Below are 18,302 nucleotides of genomic sequence, written 5' to 3'. Positions count from 1 at the left end.
TCCATTTCCTCCCTCCGCTTGCATCTGTTCACACCTTAAGTGTTATATTTCCCCTGCTAGCATGTTAGCTCTGTGAGAGCAAAATAGAGGTTGTATATTTTGGCCGGCCACAGTGGCTCACTCCTGTAATCACAGCACTTTGGCAGGCCAAGGCACAAGGATCACTTGAGGTCAGGAGTTCAAGATCAGTCTGACCAACATGGTGAAAACCCATCTCTACTAAAAATACAAAAATTAGCAAGGCTTGGTGGCACACGCCTGTAATCCCAGCTACTCTTTTGACTGCGGCAGGAGAAATGTTTGAACCTGAGAGGCAGAGGTTGCAGTGAGCCGAGATCACACCACTGCACTTCAGCCTGAGTGACAGAGTGAGACTCCATCTCAAAAAATAAATAAGTAAATAAATAAAACCAAACAAACAAACAATAGACTTTGTAAATTTTTATTAACCACTCTATCTATAGTGCTTGGATCTGTGCATGGAACACAGTAGTTACTAAAAAATTTGTTGAACTAAGGAATAAATAAATATAATCACATACCCACCTATTCAACAGGCATCTCTCATGGTCTTCTGATGCCCTATTCCAGGAGCTGTGGAGATAGTGAACTTGTATAAAACATGGGCTTGTCTTTAAGGGGCTTATAGTCGACTAGAAAGAAACCATCTGATTTGCAAGTTGCAGTTTCAGGCAATTCCTAATAAACATTCTAGGAGGTACAGTCTAGGTGGATCTATCCCAACATCATGATATACATGTAACAGCATAGAATACCTAAGACGGGATCTGGTAAATGGTAGGCTTTGTAAATGTTTAACAATTCCCCCTTCTTAAAAATATCTAGTACTAAATTTACTCTCACATCCTACTTCCTGCCTGGCACAGTGGCTCATACCTATAATCCCAACACTTTCAAAGGCCAAGGCAGGAGGATCACTTGAGCCCAGGAGTTTGAGAGGAGCTTGGGCAATATGACAAGACACTGTCATTTTTTTAAAAATCAGCCAGGCATGTTGAAACATGCCTATAGTCCCAGTTACTAAGGAGTCTGAGACAGGAAGACTGCTTGAGCCCAGGAGTTAGAGGCTGAAGTGAGTCATGATCATGTCACTATATTCCAACCTGGACAACAGAAGGAGACCCTATCTCAAAAACAAACAAAACAAAATTTCCTTCCATTTTCATGACAGTATTGCACCATCTAATGCTACCTATGGGCCACTTGGCCCCACTCTCGATAAATAATAACAAAACTTTTTAATTGTACACAGGCTTACTATTATTAACATACATAAATAGATATATAAATTAGTACTACATCTCTGGAAATCAAGGGCTGGAGTACCAATCAATCAAATCAAATCAATACATATATACAATACATATAAATATAATATAAATATATTTTGTATTACATTATTATATACAATATATAGTATATAAATGCATGTATATATATTTACATATGTGTATATGTACATATAATAAACAATATATGTAAATTGGTACTCCAGCCCTGAAAATTAAGACTCGTAGGAAATTACCTAACTGAAATTTCTAACTATTTCAAGAGAGCAAGGGGAATGAAGATTTGTAGGGTGACTAGAGTGTCAGGCTCTGTGCCAAATGCTTCATGAAGTTATCTTGGGTTTTGTTCACAATGAGAAAGTAGACGGGAGCTGTAGCTCCAAGCTGCTGAAGAGGGGCTGGAGCTCTGAGAGATTATGACACTTCTCTGTGAGAATGTCTTAGTCAGTTTTATGCTGCTATAACATAATGTTTTGGACTGGGTAGTTTATAAAGAACAGATTTTTTTTTTTCTTACAGTTCTGGAGGTTGGGAAATCCAAGACTGAGAGGGGGGCATCTTGAGAGGACCTTCTTGCTGCATCTTCCATGGAGGAAGGTATCTCATGGGGCGAGAGACAGAAAAGGAAAAGGACCAAATCGTTCCTCATTCTTTTTATCAGGAACCCACTCCCATCATCACAGCATTACTCCATTCATGAGGGCAAGCCCTTGTGACCTAATCATCTCTTACAGGTCTTACCTCTCAACAGTGTTATGTTGGGAATTAAGTTTCTGACACATGAACTTTGGAGGACACATTCAAACCATACCAGATAATAATTCTAGTTTATAATAATTCTAGTTTATCTACCAGATAAACTAGAATTATTCTGGTCATCTTAATAATTCTTAATTACCTACCAGATAAACTAGAATTAAAATCCAGGTCACTGATTGCAAAGACTAGATTATTTCCAGAGACCAGCTTATTGGAAGACTAGAAGTCTCGAATTCTAGGAGTTTCAAGACTTCTGTGGATGAAGGATTAGAATTTGAATTGCACGCCAGCAGTAATTTAATAAAAGTCATACTCTTACTTCCTTTCTACCTGATAGAATGTGCTCAGTGTCCCATCAAACTGCCCCTAAGTCCTTTCTGTGTGCTAGGCACTTTAAATGTACTATCTCACTTAATTTTCATAACATTTCTGTGACCTTGAGAGTATTTTTATCCCCATTTTACAGATAATTACTTGAGGTTTAGAAAGGCTAATTAACTTGCCTAACTTCATACAGTTTAGGAAAAGGCTAAATTGCCATTGGACCCAGATTATTTGACTTTGGCACCCAGAAACTGAATCCTCCACAGAGAATGATTTTTCTCAAGGTCTCAGGTTTCTGCTAGGCAGGGAAAGTCCTTCCCTTGGTTTAATCTCAATATTCCTTGCTGCAATAGCAGGTCATTTTCTTTCTAGCCCTTCTGTGTAGAGCCAAGAATAACTACTGAAGTCAGGTTTAATGTCATTCATCTGTGCCAGGCTTAGAACCTGACCCACTAGCCATTTTCAGTCTTCGAAGAAGAATCAAGTCAGGTTATTAACACGGGGAGACAATTGCCTTTTATTTCATTCCTCCTTTCTTATTCTAAAAAGGAAGAGTAATGAGTTAGCTTCTGTTGTCAGAATATCAACAAGCGCACTTTCTGGCAGTTGGTTCATAAGGAGATTTTTCTTGTAATTGGAGTTTCAGAAGCTCACCCGGCATCAATGGCATCCACCATATAAATTAGCCTCTTCTCTACGCTTACAGATTTTATCCTAATTATTGCAGCTAATACGAATGCAGCCTGGCCAACTTCACTGAAAACCAAGCCATAGCAGGGGCTCTGTGACCCTGGGGAAGGACAGGGCAGGCCCTAGAGCCCTGCAGTCTGGCAGTGTCCCTGTGCTTTGCCGGAGCCCACCCAGCACAGAGTGTTAACACGGGCTCCCCACAGGCTTCTCTATGAACCCTCAGGGGTCTTCTTCCCTCTAGCTCTAGCCCGTGGCTTTTGGACCCAGAAGACAACCGGCTCCCCCAGACTTTCCACAGCACTGCAGGGCATACTCCAGCCCCATCCTCTGCCTTACTTACCCCCACGAGGAACCTGGAAAGGGGCAACTTGCTATCTCTACTGTCCCAGACCTTTGGCTCCCCAGCCACCCTGAGAGCTGCCAGCAACTTCCTTTCTTCCCAGTGCCAGTTGTCCTAAGGGGAGATGCAATTCTGAAGCGCACGCAGTGATGTGTCTCACCAAGGGAGGACGCTGGCTCGGACAGCCCTGACCAAAGCAATGGTCTGGCTCAGAATCAGGTGTGGGCAACAATGGGACAAGAAGCACCCATGAAGGAAAGACAAGCACTGAGAAACCCTTTCGTAACCCCGGGAGCAGAGTCCTCCAGTCCTCAGGCAGCCAGGCAGGGAATGCACATCCTAAAATGTCAGTGCTGGAAAGAAATCGAAAGAGCATCTCATCCAACCTGCGCCTTACACAGAGAAGAGACCTTAGGCAAGAACGTGTTGTGAAGCAGCAGGTCATGCCGTTTAGCAGAGGAATCGGGCCTCCTGAGTCCACAGCTGGGGCTCTCTTCTCTGTTTTACAAAGCCACAGAGACAGGACCTGGCAAGGACACCTGTGCCCACCGCCCCCACGGACAATTAGCATCCTCCTCGGATGTACTGGAGCCCAAGTCCCCTGCTTCCCAGTTCCCTGTGCTTCCTAACTTCTCTCTACGGAGATTATTTCTTCCTCCCTGCTCTTGTTTTCATATAAAAAGCTGAAATCTAGGTTGGGGAATTGGCTTCCCTGGATTTTCCTCAGGAGATAAAATTGCTTTCAGGCTTGGCTCTCTTGAGCCGATCTGACCCTTTCACTAACTTGTTTTTAGCATGAGGCTTGGGAGAGGCGATTTTGAAAGCAAGAAAGTAAGTCTTCCCAGAGCCCATTCTCTCTCTCTCTGTCTCTCTCTTTCTCTCTCTCTCTCTTTCTCTCTGTCTATCTCTGTCTTCACATGGGCTCGATTTTGGCTTTCTATCCACCCTCAAATCCATTTCAAACAGCTTAAGACCCATACTGGGAGCAATGAAGTTCTTGCTAACAAATGCCACTCTGGCTTTTTCGTTCACCTGTGAAGGGAAGGAGGCCCTTCCTGTTTGTATTCCAGCCGTTGTGTTGTCTCATTATGTAAACTTCCCGGTTTGTTAATAGTTTTAGTATCCTTCCGATGCATTTAAAACCTGGGCGATGGAATAAAGGTGGGTGAGGATAGGCTCTGGGCTGATGCAAATTGAAACTGAAAAGATATTAGGCTGAAAGTGTTAGGAAGAATATAAGAAAAATCTGCTGCATAAATGGAGGCAGTGCTGCTCTGCCAGGAATGCTACTATTACCAAAGTGAAAGCACGTATGTGAATTTTAGTGCTGGGTAGCGGCATTAGCCCAGTAGCGTCTTTTCTCAGAAGGGCTGGATTCTTCAACACAGCTAACATCACTGAGCACTTACTATGTTGTAGGAAGTGCTAAGTGCTTCACAAGCACTATTTCCAGGATAAAATCCCTATCATGGAGGTGCTGTTATTATGCCCATTTCACAGATAAATTAACTGAGGCTTGGAGATGTTTTGAAATGTCGTGTGGCTCACAGAGCTAACAAACAGGATGTCCAGAATTTAAGAACCCAGGCATCCTGACAAGACAGGCCAAATCCTGACTCACTTTTCTTGATCTGTTTGCTTTCTTTAAATAAACCTCCTGCCAAAGTACCTGTGAAAAAGCTGAGGAAGATGTTATGGACCTAGAATAGGTCCTGGGTCTTCAGCCAACAGGAAGAAATGAACCAAAAGAGATGCATATTTTGTCCTTTAGTTTTGAGCCTTAGGCTCTGGTTCCATCTCTGCCCTCTCTACTAGTTTGTTTCCATGTATGCAAAAGGAGAGGGCCAGTTGGAAGGTCTCCCTTGTGTCCCTGACAGTTTCCACGGATGGTCTGTGGGGAGAGGTACGGGAACAACACGGAGACAGGAGCATGGAGCTGGCTCTGCAGACCTGCAGCACCGCCCCAGCCCTTCCTTCAGCTGTCTCCAATGAACAGGAATTCTCCACTAAAATCAGCTAAGTGGAAGGAAAGAGTTTCTCCTACTTCACTGATTAAAAAATACTAAAATGTAGAAAGCTTTCAGGTAACAGGGCTTCTTTTCTTTCACACATGTTGTTGATGAATTCTGTGTTTTCCAACAACAGCTGTACCATATCACTCAAAGTGCAGATGGAGGGACAAGGCCGGGAAAACACGTTTCGGGGGTCTGATGATTCATGCTTTGTTCTCCTGGTTGCCCTAATGTCAGAGAAGCTCTGGTGGGTGTCTAAAGCCTGGTAGAAGAGCAGTAGCTACCCAGGACCTCTTAATCTTCTGAATGCATATTCTTATGAATCTCATGGCAATGGCACCTAGCCAGTTTGCATAGAACAGGGACTTGCTGGACAAAGCAGCTGTTGTGCTGGTAACAACAAGGAGACTTCATAACGACACCGGAACCAGACAGTGGTGCTCCGCAGTGGACAGGCCACAAAAGGCCCACTGTTGTGTGCTGCTTCCTAGGAGCCTCCAGAAGATGGAATGTCTGGTGACCTGATTTCCTAGCATATACGAGCTGTATGTTTGAGACTGGCTCTAGGGAGGTAAAAGGAGATGTGTGGCCTCTGGATGGAAGGTCTGCTCTTCAGGCCAGTGTTTCTCACTGGAGATGATGGGAACCACGAGCTTTTGTCTAGGCTTTCATGGAATTGCTGGTCTGTTGACTTCACCAGCAGAGTAGACAAGCCTCTTTTGCCAGTGTAATGGAAGCACTGCAACCCCACCCACCCCACCCCACCCCCTTCCTGGGAGGCGGAGGGTCTCACCAGGTGGAAGAGCATAATGCAGTGTAAGGAAAGACCTCTTCCAGGAGCAGAGAGAGCTGAGGGGCTCCAAGGTAAAGAGAGGAATGGAGGAGTGGGCACCCGAGCACATCACAGGGTAACTATAGGATTCACTGAGATCCGCTCACTTGTTTGTCCATTCATTCATTGATTCTTTCACTCAGCATCTCCTACACTGTGCCACTCTGTGAAAGGTTCCAGGGCCACTGCAGGAACTAATGCAGACACCGCAGCCCCCATTCTCATAAAACTCACAGTCCGAATGGAAGCACAGACAGCCAAGAGGAAAACCGCAGCAAACAGTGAAGCCCGTTGAGACGAGGGCAGAAAGGGGACCTGGAGTGGGTGATGCTGCTGCCTACCCCCAAGGGATGCTCATTAGGAAGACACAGTCGAAACTGGGGCTGGAGGAAATGGGGTCATGTGGCCTCCGGACGGGAGGGCTGCACTTGAGGCCAGTGCAGGAATCACTTCTCACTCCCCTCAATTCATTTCTCCAATGTCTCTTGACCACATCAGCCATTATTTTTGTCCCCAGCACACTGGACTCCTTCCTATTCCTCACACACGCCAGGTAATCTGTGACTGGGAGCCTTTGTGCCTGCTGTTCTCTCTGCCTGGAATACGCTCCCCCAGACATCAGGGTGGTTTGCCCCCATCTTCCCCAGGTCCTGGCACAAATCTCTCCTCTGTGAGGCCTTCCTGGACAGCCTGTGTCAACTGCAGGGAATAATTAGACATACTGCAATGTGGATGAACTTTGAGGACATCATGCCAGGTGAAAGAAGCCAAACACGAAAGGATTTATACTGCATGATCCCATTTATAGGAAGTACCTGGAGGAGTCAGATTCATAGAAACTGGAAGTAGAGTGGTGACCCCTAGGGGCTGGAGGAGGTGGAGGGAGGAATGTTACTGTTTCATAGGTAGATTTTTAGTTTGGGATAATGAAAAAGATTCTAGAAATGAAGGGTGTGGATGGTTGCATAACAATGTGAATGTGCTTAATGCCACTGTACATGTAAAAATGGTGAAGGTAGGCCCAGGGCGGTGGCTCACGCCTATAATCCCAGCACTTTGGGAGGCCAAGGCAGGTGGCTCACCTGAGGTCAGGAGTTCAAGACCAGCCTGACCAATATGATGAAACCCCATTTCTACTAAAAATATAAAAATTAGTCAGGCGTGGTGGTGTGCACCTGTAATCCCAGCTACTTGGGAGGCTGAGACAGGAGAATCACTTGAACCCGGGAGGTGGACGTTGCAGTGAGCCAAGATCGCACCATTGCACTCCAGCCTGAGCAACAAGAGCAAATCCCTGTCTCAAAAAAAAAAAAAAATGGTTAAGGTGGCAGCCAGGTGCAGTGGTTCACACCTGTAATCCTGTCAGTTTGGGAGGCCAAGGCATGAGCATGACTTGAGGTCACGGGCTCAACACGAGCCTGGGCAGCATATGGAGACCTTGTTTCTATGAAAAAAAGAAAAAATTAATTAGCCAGTCATGGTGGCATGCTCCTGTAGTTCCAGCTACTTAGGAGGCTGAGGTGGGTGGCTCACTGGAGCTCTGGAGATGGAGGCTACAGTGAGCTATGATCACACCACTGCCCTTTAGCCTGGATGATAGAATAAGACCCTGACTTTAAAAAAAAAATTAAGTTTAGGTGGTAAATTTTTTGGTTATGTGTATTTTACCACAATAAAAAATGCTGCATAAAAAAGTAATAAGTAGGAGTGAACCTTGAAAAGGACTGAGTGGATGACAATGTGGACATGACGGGAAGGAAAGGAGAAGGGGTTCCGGCACTGGGAACACCATGATCCCAGGGCTGGAGGCCAGAGACTGGGCACACTTGTGGCTTTGTTCTATTCTCTTCTACTCTGGCTAGCTGAGAACAGGGTTGGCCAGGGAAGAAAAGTTTAGGTCTAGAAATGAGGCATAAAATTGAACTGAGGCCAGATCCATAACCTTGCTGTGGAGTGTGGACTTCTTCCTCCATCAAATGGGTAAATGCTGAAGAACATTTATCAAGAATGTGAAATGATCAGATTTACATTATTTGAAGACCACTTAGGCAAATGAGCTGAAGCAGGGCATGAAGAGTGGGGAGGCCAGTGAGGAGGCCTCTGCAGAAGTCGTGGCAAGAGACAGTGACGGCAAGGACTCATGTGGATCCAGAGAAGGTGGAGACTCAGATCTGGGCTCAGTCGGTGTTTAGGAGACAGAATGAATCACCTATGTGATATATCAGATATGAGGTGTGAGACGGGGGGAGGAGCCCATGTTTCTCCCATGGACCTGAGTTACATGGCAACGCCATTCCCGGAGCCCAGACAAAGAAGAAAGACAGACACATGGCAGGATCAGTGTTGAAGTCCCAGGGTTGTTATCCCTGGGGAAATGGCTTGTAAGTCTGGTCACAGTGGCAGGTGGTTCTAGGAGAGAATTACAGGCTGGAGACAAATATTAGAATGATCAATAGAGACAGATAGAGATAGGTAATAGAAATAGAATTGGAGATATACAAACAGTGAAGGGAGGCCTGAGATAAATGAGCCCATCCTGGGGTGGGGGAATAAGCTGTAGACCACCCCTCAGGGATGGGCCTCAGCACAGACCACCAGGAAAACGGTCAGCTGCAGGTGCACTCATCCCTGCCCAGGTATACAATATGCTCTTATATCCTGCTCCTGGCCTATGCGGTTTGACAGACTCAAAGGCATGCTAGCCTTTGAAACAGGATACTTTCTCTCTTCAGATGAGCAGTTGTCTTAGTTTCTACAGGGTGCTATAATAGAATACTAGAGACTGTGTGGTTTAAACAATAGTAATTAATTTCTCATAGTTCTGGAGGCTGGGAAGTCCAAGATCAAGGTGCCAGCGAGGTGGGTTTCATTCCGAGGACTCTTCTCTTGGCTTGTGGGTTGCCACCATCCCTGTGTGTCCATGTGACCTCTTATTTGTGTGAAAAGGAGAGAGATAAAAAGAGAGAGAGTGAGAGAGCGCTTGTGTCTTTGACTCCATCATAAACTCACCCTCAGGGCCGCATTGAAACCTAATTACCTCTCCAAAGCCCCACCTTCAAATACCGTCCTATTAGGGGTTAGGGCTTCAACATAAGCATTTTGGAGGAACACAGTTCTGTTCACAGCATCAGTATTTCCTCTCCCTCTCACATCAGAAGAACTTTTATTTTTTTACATTGGTTGAGTTCTTTTCTGTGAAGCAGCTGATGTACTTTCCCACTGAAGTCATCCCTATCCCAACACACACTCAGACACCCCCTTCTATGCACACAGTGTGTGGACATCCCCAAAACCAAGTACAAGAACGTAAAACTATGTTTCCCTAGAGAATCAGGGGAAACAATGGTGGCTTGGAATTCACAGGGTTCCCAGAGTCAAAACATTGTCTCATACAGGGGTCCTCACCCCCAGGCAACAGACCAGTACCAGTCAGTGGCCTGTTAGGAACCAGGCTGCACAGCAGGAGGTGAGTGGCAGGCCAGCGAGCATTACTGCCTGAGCTTCACCTCCTGTCAGATCAGTGGTGGCATTAAATTCTCATAGGAGCTGAACCCTATTGTGAACTGCACATGCAAAGGATGTAGGCTGTGAGCTTCTTATGAGAACCTAATGACTGATCTGAGTTGGAACAGTTTCATCCCAAAACCATCCCCCACCCCCCATCCATGGAAAAACTGTCTTCCACAAAACCAGTCCCTGGTGCCAAAAAGGTTGGGAACCGCTGGTCTTACGGTAGCAAAGTCTTGCAGCCTTGGGTGAGAAGCCAGGGTTGAGAAGACGGAAAAGCTGAGGCAAGAGGAAGAAAGAGCCCTAACCTTGTACAGACCCAACCATGACTTGAAATCCTAATTCTGCCATTTACACCCTTAATAGCTCCGTGTTCCGGGTTTCTTATGAAAAAATAGGAATCAGCATGTGTCTTAGTCTGTTCAGGCTGCTATTACAAAGTACTCTCAACTGGGTGACTTGTAAACAACAAAAATTGTATTCTCACAGTTCTGGAGGATGGGAAGTCCAAGATCCAGGCATCAGCAGACTGGGCGTCTGGTGAGGGCTCATGTCCTCATAGATGACATCTTCTTACTATGTCCCCACATGCCGGAAGGGGCCAGGGGTCTCTCTGAAGCCTTTCATAAGGACACTAATCCCATTCATGAGGTCTCTGCCTCCATGATCTAATCATCTCCCAGAGTCTGCACCTCTTAATACCATCATCTTGAGGGACAGGACTTCAATATTTGAATTTCGGTGGAGACATAAACATTCAGACCACAGCACTATTGTTTCCTCATATAAACACAATTAGACGTGAAGGAGAAAATGGAAGTATATGCAAAAGTGCAGTGCCTGAGCCTTCTCAAGTTCATTCAGCAATTCATTCAGTAAATATTTGCTGCACATGTAGTAAGTGCCAGGCACCAAGGACGCCCTGATCCAAGCCAGCATCAACATACTTATATTCTAGAGAAATTCAATAAGGTTTTTTTAAGAGGCAGGTTCTTGCTCTGTCACCCAGACTGCAGTGCATTGGTGCGATCATAGCTCACTGCAGTCTCAAATTCCTGAGCTCAAATGATCCTCCTGCCTCGGCCTCCTGAGTAGCTGGGACTAAACATTCTGTACACCACCATGCTCAGCTAACATTTTTTATTATTTTTTGTAGAGACAGGGTCTCATTATGTTGCCCAGGCTGGTCTCAAACTCCTGGCCTCAAGCGATCTTCCCTCCTTGACTTCCCAAAGTGCTGGGATAACAGGTATAAGCCATGATGCCCAGCAAAGGTTTTCTTTATCTTCCTTAGAGTGTAAAGAAGTCACTGGTTTGTTTCAGGCCAGTTTCCATGGTCCCAAATAAAAGTGTGACCTTGGGAGCAATGTGTCATGTACATCACGTAATCCAACCTTTGCTTTCTGGGTGCTCCAGGGTTGATCCTTACACTGACCCTAGACTCCAATGAACTCCTTCTCAGCCTCCTTACCATGCAAGAAGGCTGACATTTTTCTGATCACCATCTGTCCCAGGGCACCCAAATCTCTAACTTCTTGGCCTGTCCCACCTCCTTTCTTCAAAGCCTGACTAGCTGATTGAATTAATCTACTTATTATATTGCAGCCTCCCTGAGGCCAGGGAGTTTTGTGCAATGTATTCACTTCTATTTCCCTAGTAGCTAGTTCTGAGCATGAGGCAGGCACCCAAAGAACGCTCAAATCACCGAGTGTTCCTCCCATGTCAAGACACTGGATAGCTGAGAACAGCTCAGCTTGTGGAAGGTCTGCCTTCAACAGGAGAATGTATGAACCGAGCTGTCAGTGCTGGGATCGGACCATTAGCCAGAGGTAGTGTATGGAAAGGGAGCCTCCGACCCCTGCCAGACACAGCTGCTGCTCCCCCTGTGCAAAACACCTGTCTGTGTGCCTGGGCTGAGCCAGCCATGGTGAAGGCAAAGCAGCACCCATGAGAATCAGAAGGTTTTTTTTTTTGTTTTTTTGGTTTTCGTTTTTTTTTTTTTTTGAGACAGAGTCTTGCTCTGTCACCCAGGCTGGAGTGCAGTGGCGTGACCTCGGCTCACTGCAAGCTCCGCCTCCTGGGTTCACACCATTCTCCTGTCTCAGCCTCCCAAGTAGCTGGGACTACAGGCACTCACCACCACGCTTGGCTAATTTTTTTGTATTTTTGGTAGAGACGAGGTTTCACCGTGTTAGCCAGGATGGTCACGATCTCCTGACCTTGTGATCCACCCATCTCGGCCTCCCAAAGTGTTGGGATTACAGGCATGAGCCACCGCGCCTGGCTGAGAATCAGAAGGTTTGAAAGCAATCTCTTCTCCCCACGCCTCCTCCTTGCTTCACTTAACCAAAAAAAAATAACCATGATATGGATAAGAGTCCATGAGGCTCCAAGATGTGCTCTCTGCTTTCCGTATACTTCTCGGGAGACACCACCATCACTCTCCTGGACAATTAGAGCTCACTCTGGAAGGGCAGGGACTGGAGAGCAGGAGTGAGGCTGACCTTCTATGCACTGGGTAGAAATCCAGTTCTCCCACCAACTGCCCATGTGTCCTGGAGCAACCCACCACTGCTCTTGGCCTCAGTTTCCTCAAATGTAATGAGAAACCAAAGGGCTTCTCTGAGAATTAAATGAATGTGATCACATGTTTGATGGCGAAGATGAAGTTTGACAGCCAGAATCACACCAGGCTCAATCAGTGTGTGCTTCTGTCCATGTGCCAGGCAGATGGAAAGTGTTCAATCTAGAGGAAGTCTAGAACTATAATTTTTTGCAAAATTATCTTGTTGGTATTTGACCCTGTCTATACTGCTAGGTCAATAGAATACAGAATCTAGGACAGTTGTATTTTTGTCTAGCGTAGAATAGGTATTTAATACATACATTAAAGAATTAAATGAATGAACTAACTTTATCTTTCGCTACTCTGTCACCCAGACTCTTAGACCCAGAAACACAGCCTTCATACTGTTCCACATTCATATCTAGCTCAACTACCACCATGATACCATTTCCTATGAACCAAACAGTAAGTATGTAATATTCCTCTATGTTGTGTTCAGTACCATTTGGGGGCCCGTGGGAAATAAAAAAGAAAAAGAAAATATAACCCTATCCCCCATGGAATTTATAATATGTTTGGGGTGGGGAATGACATCTACCCAAGATAAATGTCAAGTGGACAGGGCGAACAATAAGTGTTGGAGGAGGAGAACCGGGGTGAATGAGGTTTCTTGAAGGTTGGAGTATTTGAACTGGGTCTGGAAGGATGTATGGCTTCAGGTTCCCCAAGGAAATATCACCTTCATATGAGACTTTTTCTTCCATCACCAGTTGCCCCTGACACAGGTGAAGCTTGTTGCCTTTAAATATAAAGCCAAGTGGTGCAATTTAGAATAATACACAAGTTTGAATTAAGCATTATGGCAGACGATTAATTGCCTGCTCAGTATCTGTTGTTGTCTTCTCTTTGACAGAATCTCAAACCTGTTTGAGGGTGGCAGTGCACCCAAGTAAAAACACTCAATTTCCAACTCTATCCCAGGCAAGGGTGTCTATGTAACCCAGAACTAGATGATGAGATAAAGCAGAAGTTAGCAGGTGGGGCTTTTAAGCAAGGGTAATATTAAAAATAAATAAATAACCACCAATTATAAAAGATGCCAGATATGAACTATGGGTAAACATAGCCCGCTTCAAGGAAAGGAACAGGCTCAGTGTCATCTGCTCTGCCAATTTGCCCTCTCCCTTCTTACCACCTGGAACGTGATCCGATGCCTGAAGGCACAGCAGCCACCCTGCAATGGAAAATAAAAGCTAAAGATATGAAAGATGATGAAGCAGGAAGAGAGAGAAGGGGTCTGAGCCTTCAGTGGCCTATTTGAGCAGCTGCACGTGAGGACCACCTATTTCCAAAGCTCATGTCGCACTGCATAAATTGACCCCTTATTTACGAAGGCCTCTCTTAGGTTTTCTGTTGCTTGCACCCGAATGGAATCCTAGATTTCAGTGCCATGTTTAAAGTCTAAGAGTGTGACCAGCTTTTAATATATACATAGGAAAAGGATTTGAGTCTTACTTGGTATTTGAGCTGTTCAGCCTTTTGATGCCTAGCTTGTCTCACTAAGAATAATCCCAACCACCAGATGACTACAGAATAGATGACCTGATAGGGTTCGGCATATACCTAGTTTATGTTGTTACTGCTGCATCTTCTAAGTTCCACTGACAAGTGTGCCGTCTCGTCCAATGAAACAAGAAAGGATGTTACTTCACTGGTGAGCTGCAGGTTTTCAAGATGAAATACTCTTCTCTAACTGTCAAGGTGTGCTGCACCTTGCCTAGAGTGCTGAGAAATTATAACTCAGAACTTTCTTCTTTGGTTAGAAACCTGTTTTCTTCTCCACTTGGTCTTCAGAGGCCAGGAGGTAGCTTGCTTTGACTTACTTGTATTCTGCCCAATCTTTGTGAGTCTGTGTCTCATGGAAACGTCCACGCAAATGGAGGTAGACCAACCCAGTTATAGAAAAGGAAAAAGACATTTTAGGGGACAGTGGCCAAAGGCATAGACATAGAAAACTTAGGTCTGTGCATATGTGCCACATTTTCTTAATCCAGTCTATCATTGTTGGACATTTGGCTTGGTTCCAAGTCTTTGCTATTGTGAATAGTGCCACAATAAATATACGTGTGCATGTGTCTTTATAGCAGCATGATTTACAATCCTGGAATACTATGCAGCCATAAAAAATGATGAGTTCATGTCCTTTTTAGGGACATGGATGAAGCTGGAAACCATTATTCTCAGCAAACTATCGCAAGGACAAAAAACCAAACACCGCATGTTCTCATTCATAGGTGGGAATTGAACAATGAGAACACATGGACACAGGAAGGGGAACATCACACACTGGTGCCTGTTGTGGGGTGGGGGGAGAGGGGAGGGATAGCAATAGGAGATATACCTAATGTTAAATGACGAGTTAATGGGTGCAGCACACCAACATGGCACATGTATACATATGTAACTAACCTGCACGTTGTGCACATGTACCCTAAAACTTAAATTATAATAAAAAAGGAAAAGAAAACTTAGGTCTGTGCATGGGAGCTTGAGTAGAACAGTCTTGCTAGGGTGAGAAGTACACTTCTAGGATCTTTGAGAAAGAAGCTGAGAAGATAAGCTAGAACTAGATTGTTGGGTGCTAGGCTGAAAAGACTGAGCGTTATCACACAGTAAGGAAAGAAACAACTTAGAATTGTAGAGTTCTATTCAGGTTTCAAAACATTTTCACCTATTTAAGTCCTCTTGATCTTCAAGATCCCCTCTGAAGTGTGTGTAGCACTAGTTGCTCTATCTTTGCTTGAGGGAAAGAGCTTGGAGAAGTTGACTGAGTTATCCAATGGCACACAACTAGAAATAGTAGATTAAGACCCAATCAGGTCCTTAGCTTCTAAATCCAGTGTTCTTTTCATTCTACCCTGCTGAGAATGGGAATGGCATGGCTTTTGTAAGCATGAATTTATGCAGACACCAGGAGGTAAGTGTGGAGACGATGAGACCACATAGTGTGCTTTTGTAATAGTTCAGGGTTAGGTGAAAAGGGCTTGAATTAAACATGTGTCAAGGATGCAATAAAAAAGAGGGAAGAAGACAAGAATTCTGGTTAGGAAGAACCAGCAGTGCAGGAGAAGCTCTCTTACTCAATGTCCACTCAACCAACTCTCCACATATACCAGTATTCTCCCTGCTGTCCTTAAAACAGTTGACATCCATGGCCAAGTGATGCTTGTGATGAGTAGAAAACCACCCAGTGTCCCAAGCCTTCTGTTTCCATCAGTTGACTTTGTTCCCAAACTTGTTTATTCCAGTAATTATTGTCATTGCAATGATTTAATGTAATTAAATATTACAAATGCATTGTTATGTAAACCAAGTCAGATATTCAGAAATAGTCAAGAAAGATGAGTCACTCAGATGAACTGTTCAGATTCCTTTGTAAAGTCTTTAGTTCTTACTCTGCTTGTAAAAACCTAAAAATCTTAGATCATGCATTAAAGATATGGGTTATGCAAAAAAGCTGTCATAGAAATCCAACCAGCAGACTCACACTCAAAGAAAGGCCTTGACCCTACATCGAAAGATTGACTTCCTTTCGTTAAAATTAAAAGTTTCACAAATGTAAGTAGCATTTCTTAATTTTAATTAATTTTTTCAATTAATTGGCTATTAGTTCTGGTCATGTGGCATGAAAGGGTGCTTCTGTAGTTAGAATCACAGAAAGTCGGCTGAAAGGAACCAACCCCAGGGCTTCTTTAACCCTTACACACATCAGAATCACCTTATGGGCTTGGTTAAATACAAATTGCTGGGTCCCACCCAAGATGTTTGATTCAATGGTTGTGAGGTGGGGCCTGATAATTGACTATTCTAACACATTTTCAGGTGAAGTTGATGCTGCTGGTTTGGGGACCACACTTTGACAACCGTGGAACACATCCATCACTGCAGAAGTTCTGAGGTGTGGAGATTTAAAGAGGTTCCCTCATGTACACACAGTGGGCTAACAGGAGAGCCGAAGTTAGCATCAGGATCTTCCCATTGCCTCCTGCTGTCAAAACAAATAATATAACGCTCATGATAGATTACATGTGACCACAATTGCTTTGACACTCTTCCCATCCACAGGTGGGGTCTTTGTCCCTTCCCCTTGACTAGAGGGTGGTTCTGGGATTGCGTCACCAGTAATATAGGGCAGAAATGGTGTTGTGGTTGTTTCCTGACCCAGCCTTGAGAGAGTATCAGGTTATGCTTACCGTCTCTTGGAATTTTCACTCTGGGAGCTCCGAGCTCCCATTTAAAAGCTCTGACCACCTTGAGGTCACCATGCTGAAAAACCCATGCATAAGCACTTTGGTCAATGGTTCTAGCTGATCTCACTTTCCAGCCATGCTCAACAAGGAAACAGACACAAAAATGCAGCCACCACATGCTGTCCAGATCTGCATGGTCCAGTGAACACCAGTGAATGCTTCCATGAATGCCATGTGAGACAGAGAAACTATTCAGCCAGGATTCCTGACCTGCAAAATTATAAGGTATAATAGACCAGTTGTTGTTTTAAGCCACTAAGTTTGGGAGTAGTTTGTTACACAGCCATAGATAACTGGAATGATATTGAAAAGACAAAAGCCATTGAGAACCTGAAGTTCTATACACAGGCTGAACTTAGAGACAAAAGCAATCCATATGAAACTTAATCATAGGTGACTGATTAGATAGAGGTGTCTAGTGAGAGAAAAAGGGAGAATTGACTGAGTTCTTTTGCCTGGGAGACTGTAAATACACTGACAACAGGTACCAAAAGAAAGAGCCCAGAGCCAGGGTTAATTAGAGAAGACATAGGTCTAAAGAGGCTCAGATGTGGGCAGTGCAATTGTGAGTTACAATTTTAGACATTTCAGGTCCCCAGGTCAGAAGGCCAAGCCCCCATCTCCATTCCCTGAAGTCTTTCAGGGACCCTCTCAGTTTCCACATCTCACCTTTTACCCTGCTCAATTCCCACCCACACCCTTCCTCCATAAATTCAAATAGCCCTTCTTGTCTGGGTGAGTCATTTCAGCACCTCAACATGGACTGGTGTGCATTTTAATTTGATGTTTTCATCTGCCTCTCCCCAGCATAACTGTAAACTCATAATGAACACGGTTTGCCTTTTACTTTCTCCTCAATGCTCCACAGTCCTGTGGACACTATTGGTGTCCCTGACGCTCAGTTGACTGGAAACCGTGTAGACTGACTTACGCTCCAATAGCAGCAACTGGCGAGATGTGGGTTGGAGGGAGGGCACCCAGGGTTGGGATCTTCTTGCTGCTAGTATCTTGCTTTCTGGCAACCTCAGGGAAATCAGTCTCTGACTGGGACCACCTTGAGGAGCAATACTCATGTCAGTATAATACATTCTGGGCTGTTTGCAGAAATATCACTCTTACGTGTGGCTATGAACCTACACACCTCTAAACCCTTACTGTTTTATCTATTTGACAGTTCAGTTTGATTTCCCTTGTTCTAGTCCTCTGAATTGGTATTCTCACCAGAACTAAGTCTTCTCCCCACCATGTTGATATTGATGATCCTATAAGATCCTAAGAGACCTTCAACCCTATTAAATCAGTCAATCAGCAAATGCTTTTTGATCTTCCTACTCTGTCAAGCAGCGTTCTCTTGAGAAAACAAAAGAAATACAAGGTACCATGGGGGTTGAAAGGAAGAAAGTTCACACACAACTGAGGGTCAATCAGGTCATGCTTCCTGGAGGAGGTGGTATGTGAAGGTGATCTGTAAAAATGAACAGAATTTAGTCAACAGAAGTGTTGGGGGTAGGTGTTCATGGATCTCACGGGCCATTTATCCTCAGATAAAAACAACGTGAGGTAATACAGGTGAAGGCACACGGGCACGTGCAGAAAAGCCCATTGGTTGGAGTCAGCTATGTGATGCCTTAGACACCAGGGCAATGAGTTTG

The 18,302-nt window shown here is 44.6% G+C and overlaps 2 annotated features.

The window, feature by feature from the left end:
• Window positions 8,086-8,255: an enhancer, noted in NCBI's record as "experimental_102562 CRE fragment used in MPRA reporter constructs". NCBI's record gives its function as "activates a minimal promoter by MPRAs in K562 erythroleukemia cells, with activity observed for the non-introgressed 8:20278594 variant allele {active_cell/tissue: K562}" and the evidence as "EXISTENCE:reporter gene assay evidence [ECO:0000049][PMID:34662402]".
• Window positions 15,998-17,197: an enhancer, noted in NCBI's record as "BRD4-independent group 4 enhancer chr8:20269567-20270766 (GRCh37/hg19 assembly coordinates)". NCBI's record gives its function as "activates an origin of replication core promoter dependent on BRD2, P300/CBP, MED14 and CDK7 cofactors, and independent of BRD4, by STARR-seq in HCT116 cells {active_cell/tissue: HCT116}" and the evidence as "EXISTENCE:reporter gene assay evidence [ECO:0000049][PMID:35650434]".

The sequence above is a fragment of the Homo sapiens genome, chromosome 8, assembly GCF_000001405.40.
Source record: "Homo sapiens chromosome 8, GRCh38.p14 Primary Assembly".
Lineage (NCBI taxonomy): Eukaryota > Metazoa > Chordata > Mammalia > Primates > Hominidae > Homo > Homo sapiens.
Note: the sequence above shows the minus strand (reverse complement) of the source record. Positions and strands in the feature narration are given on the sequence as shown.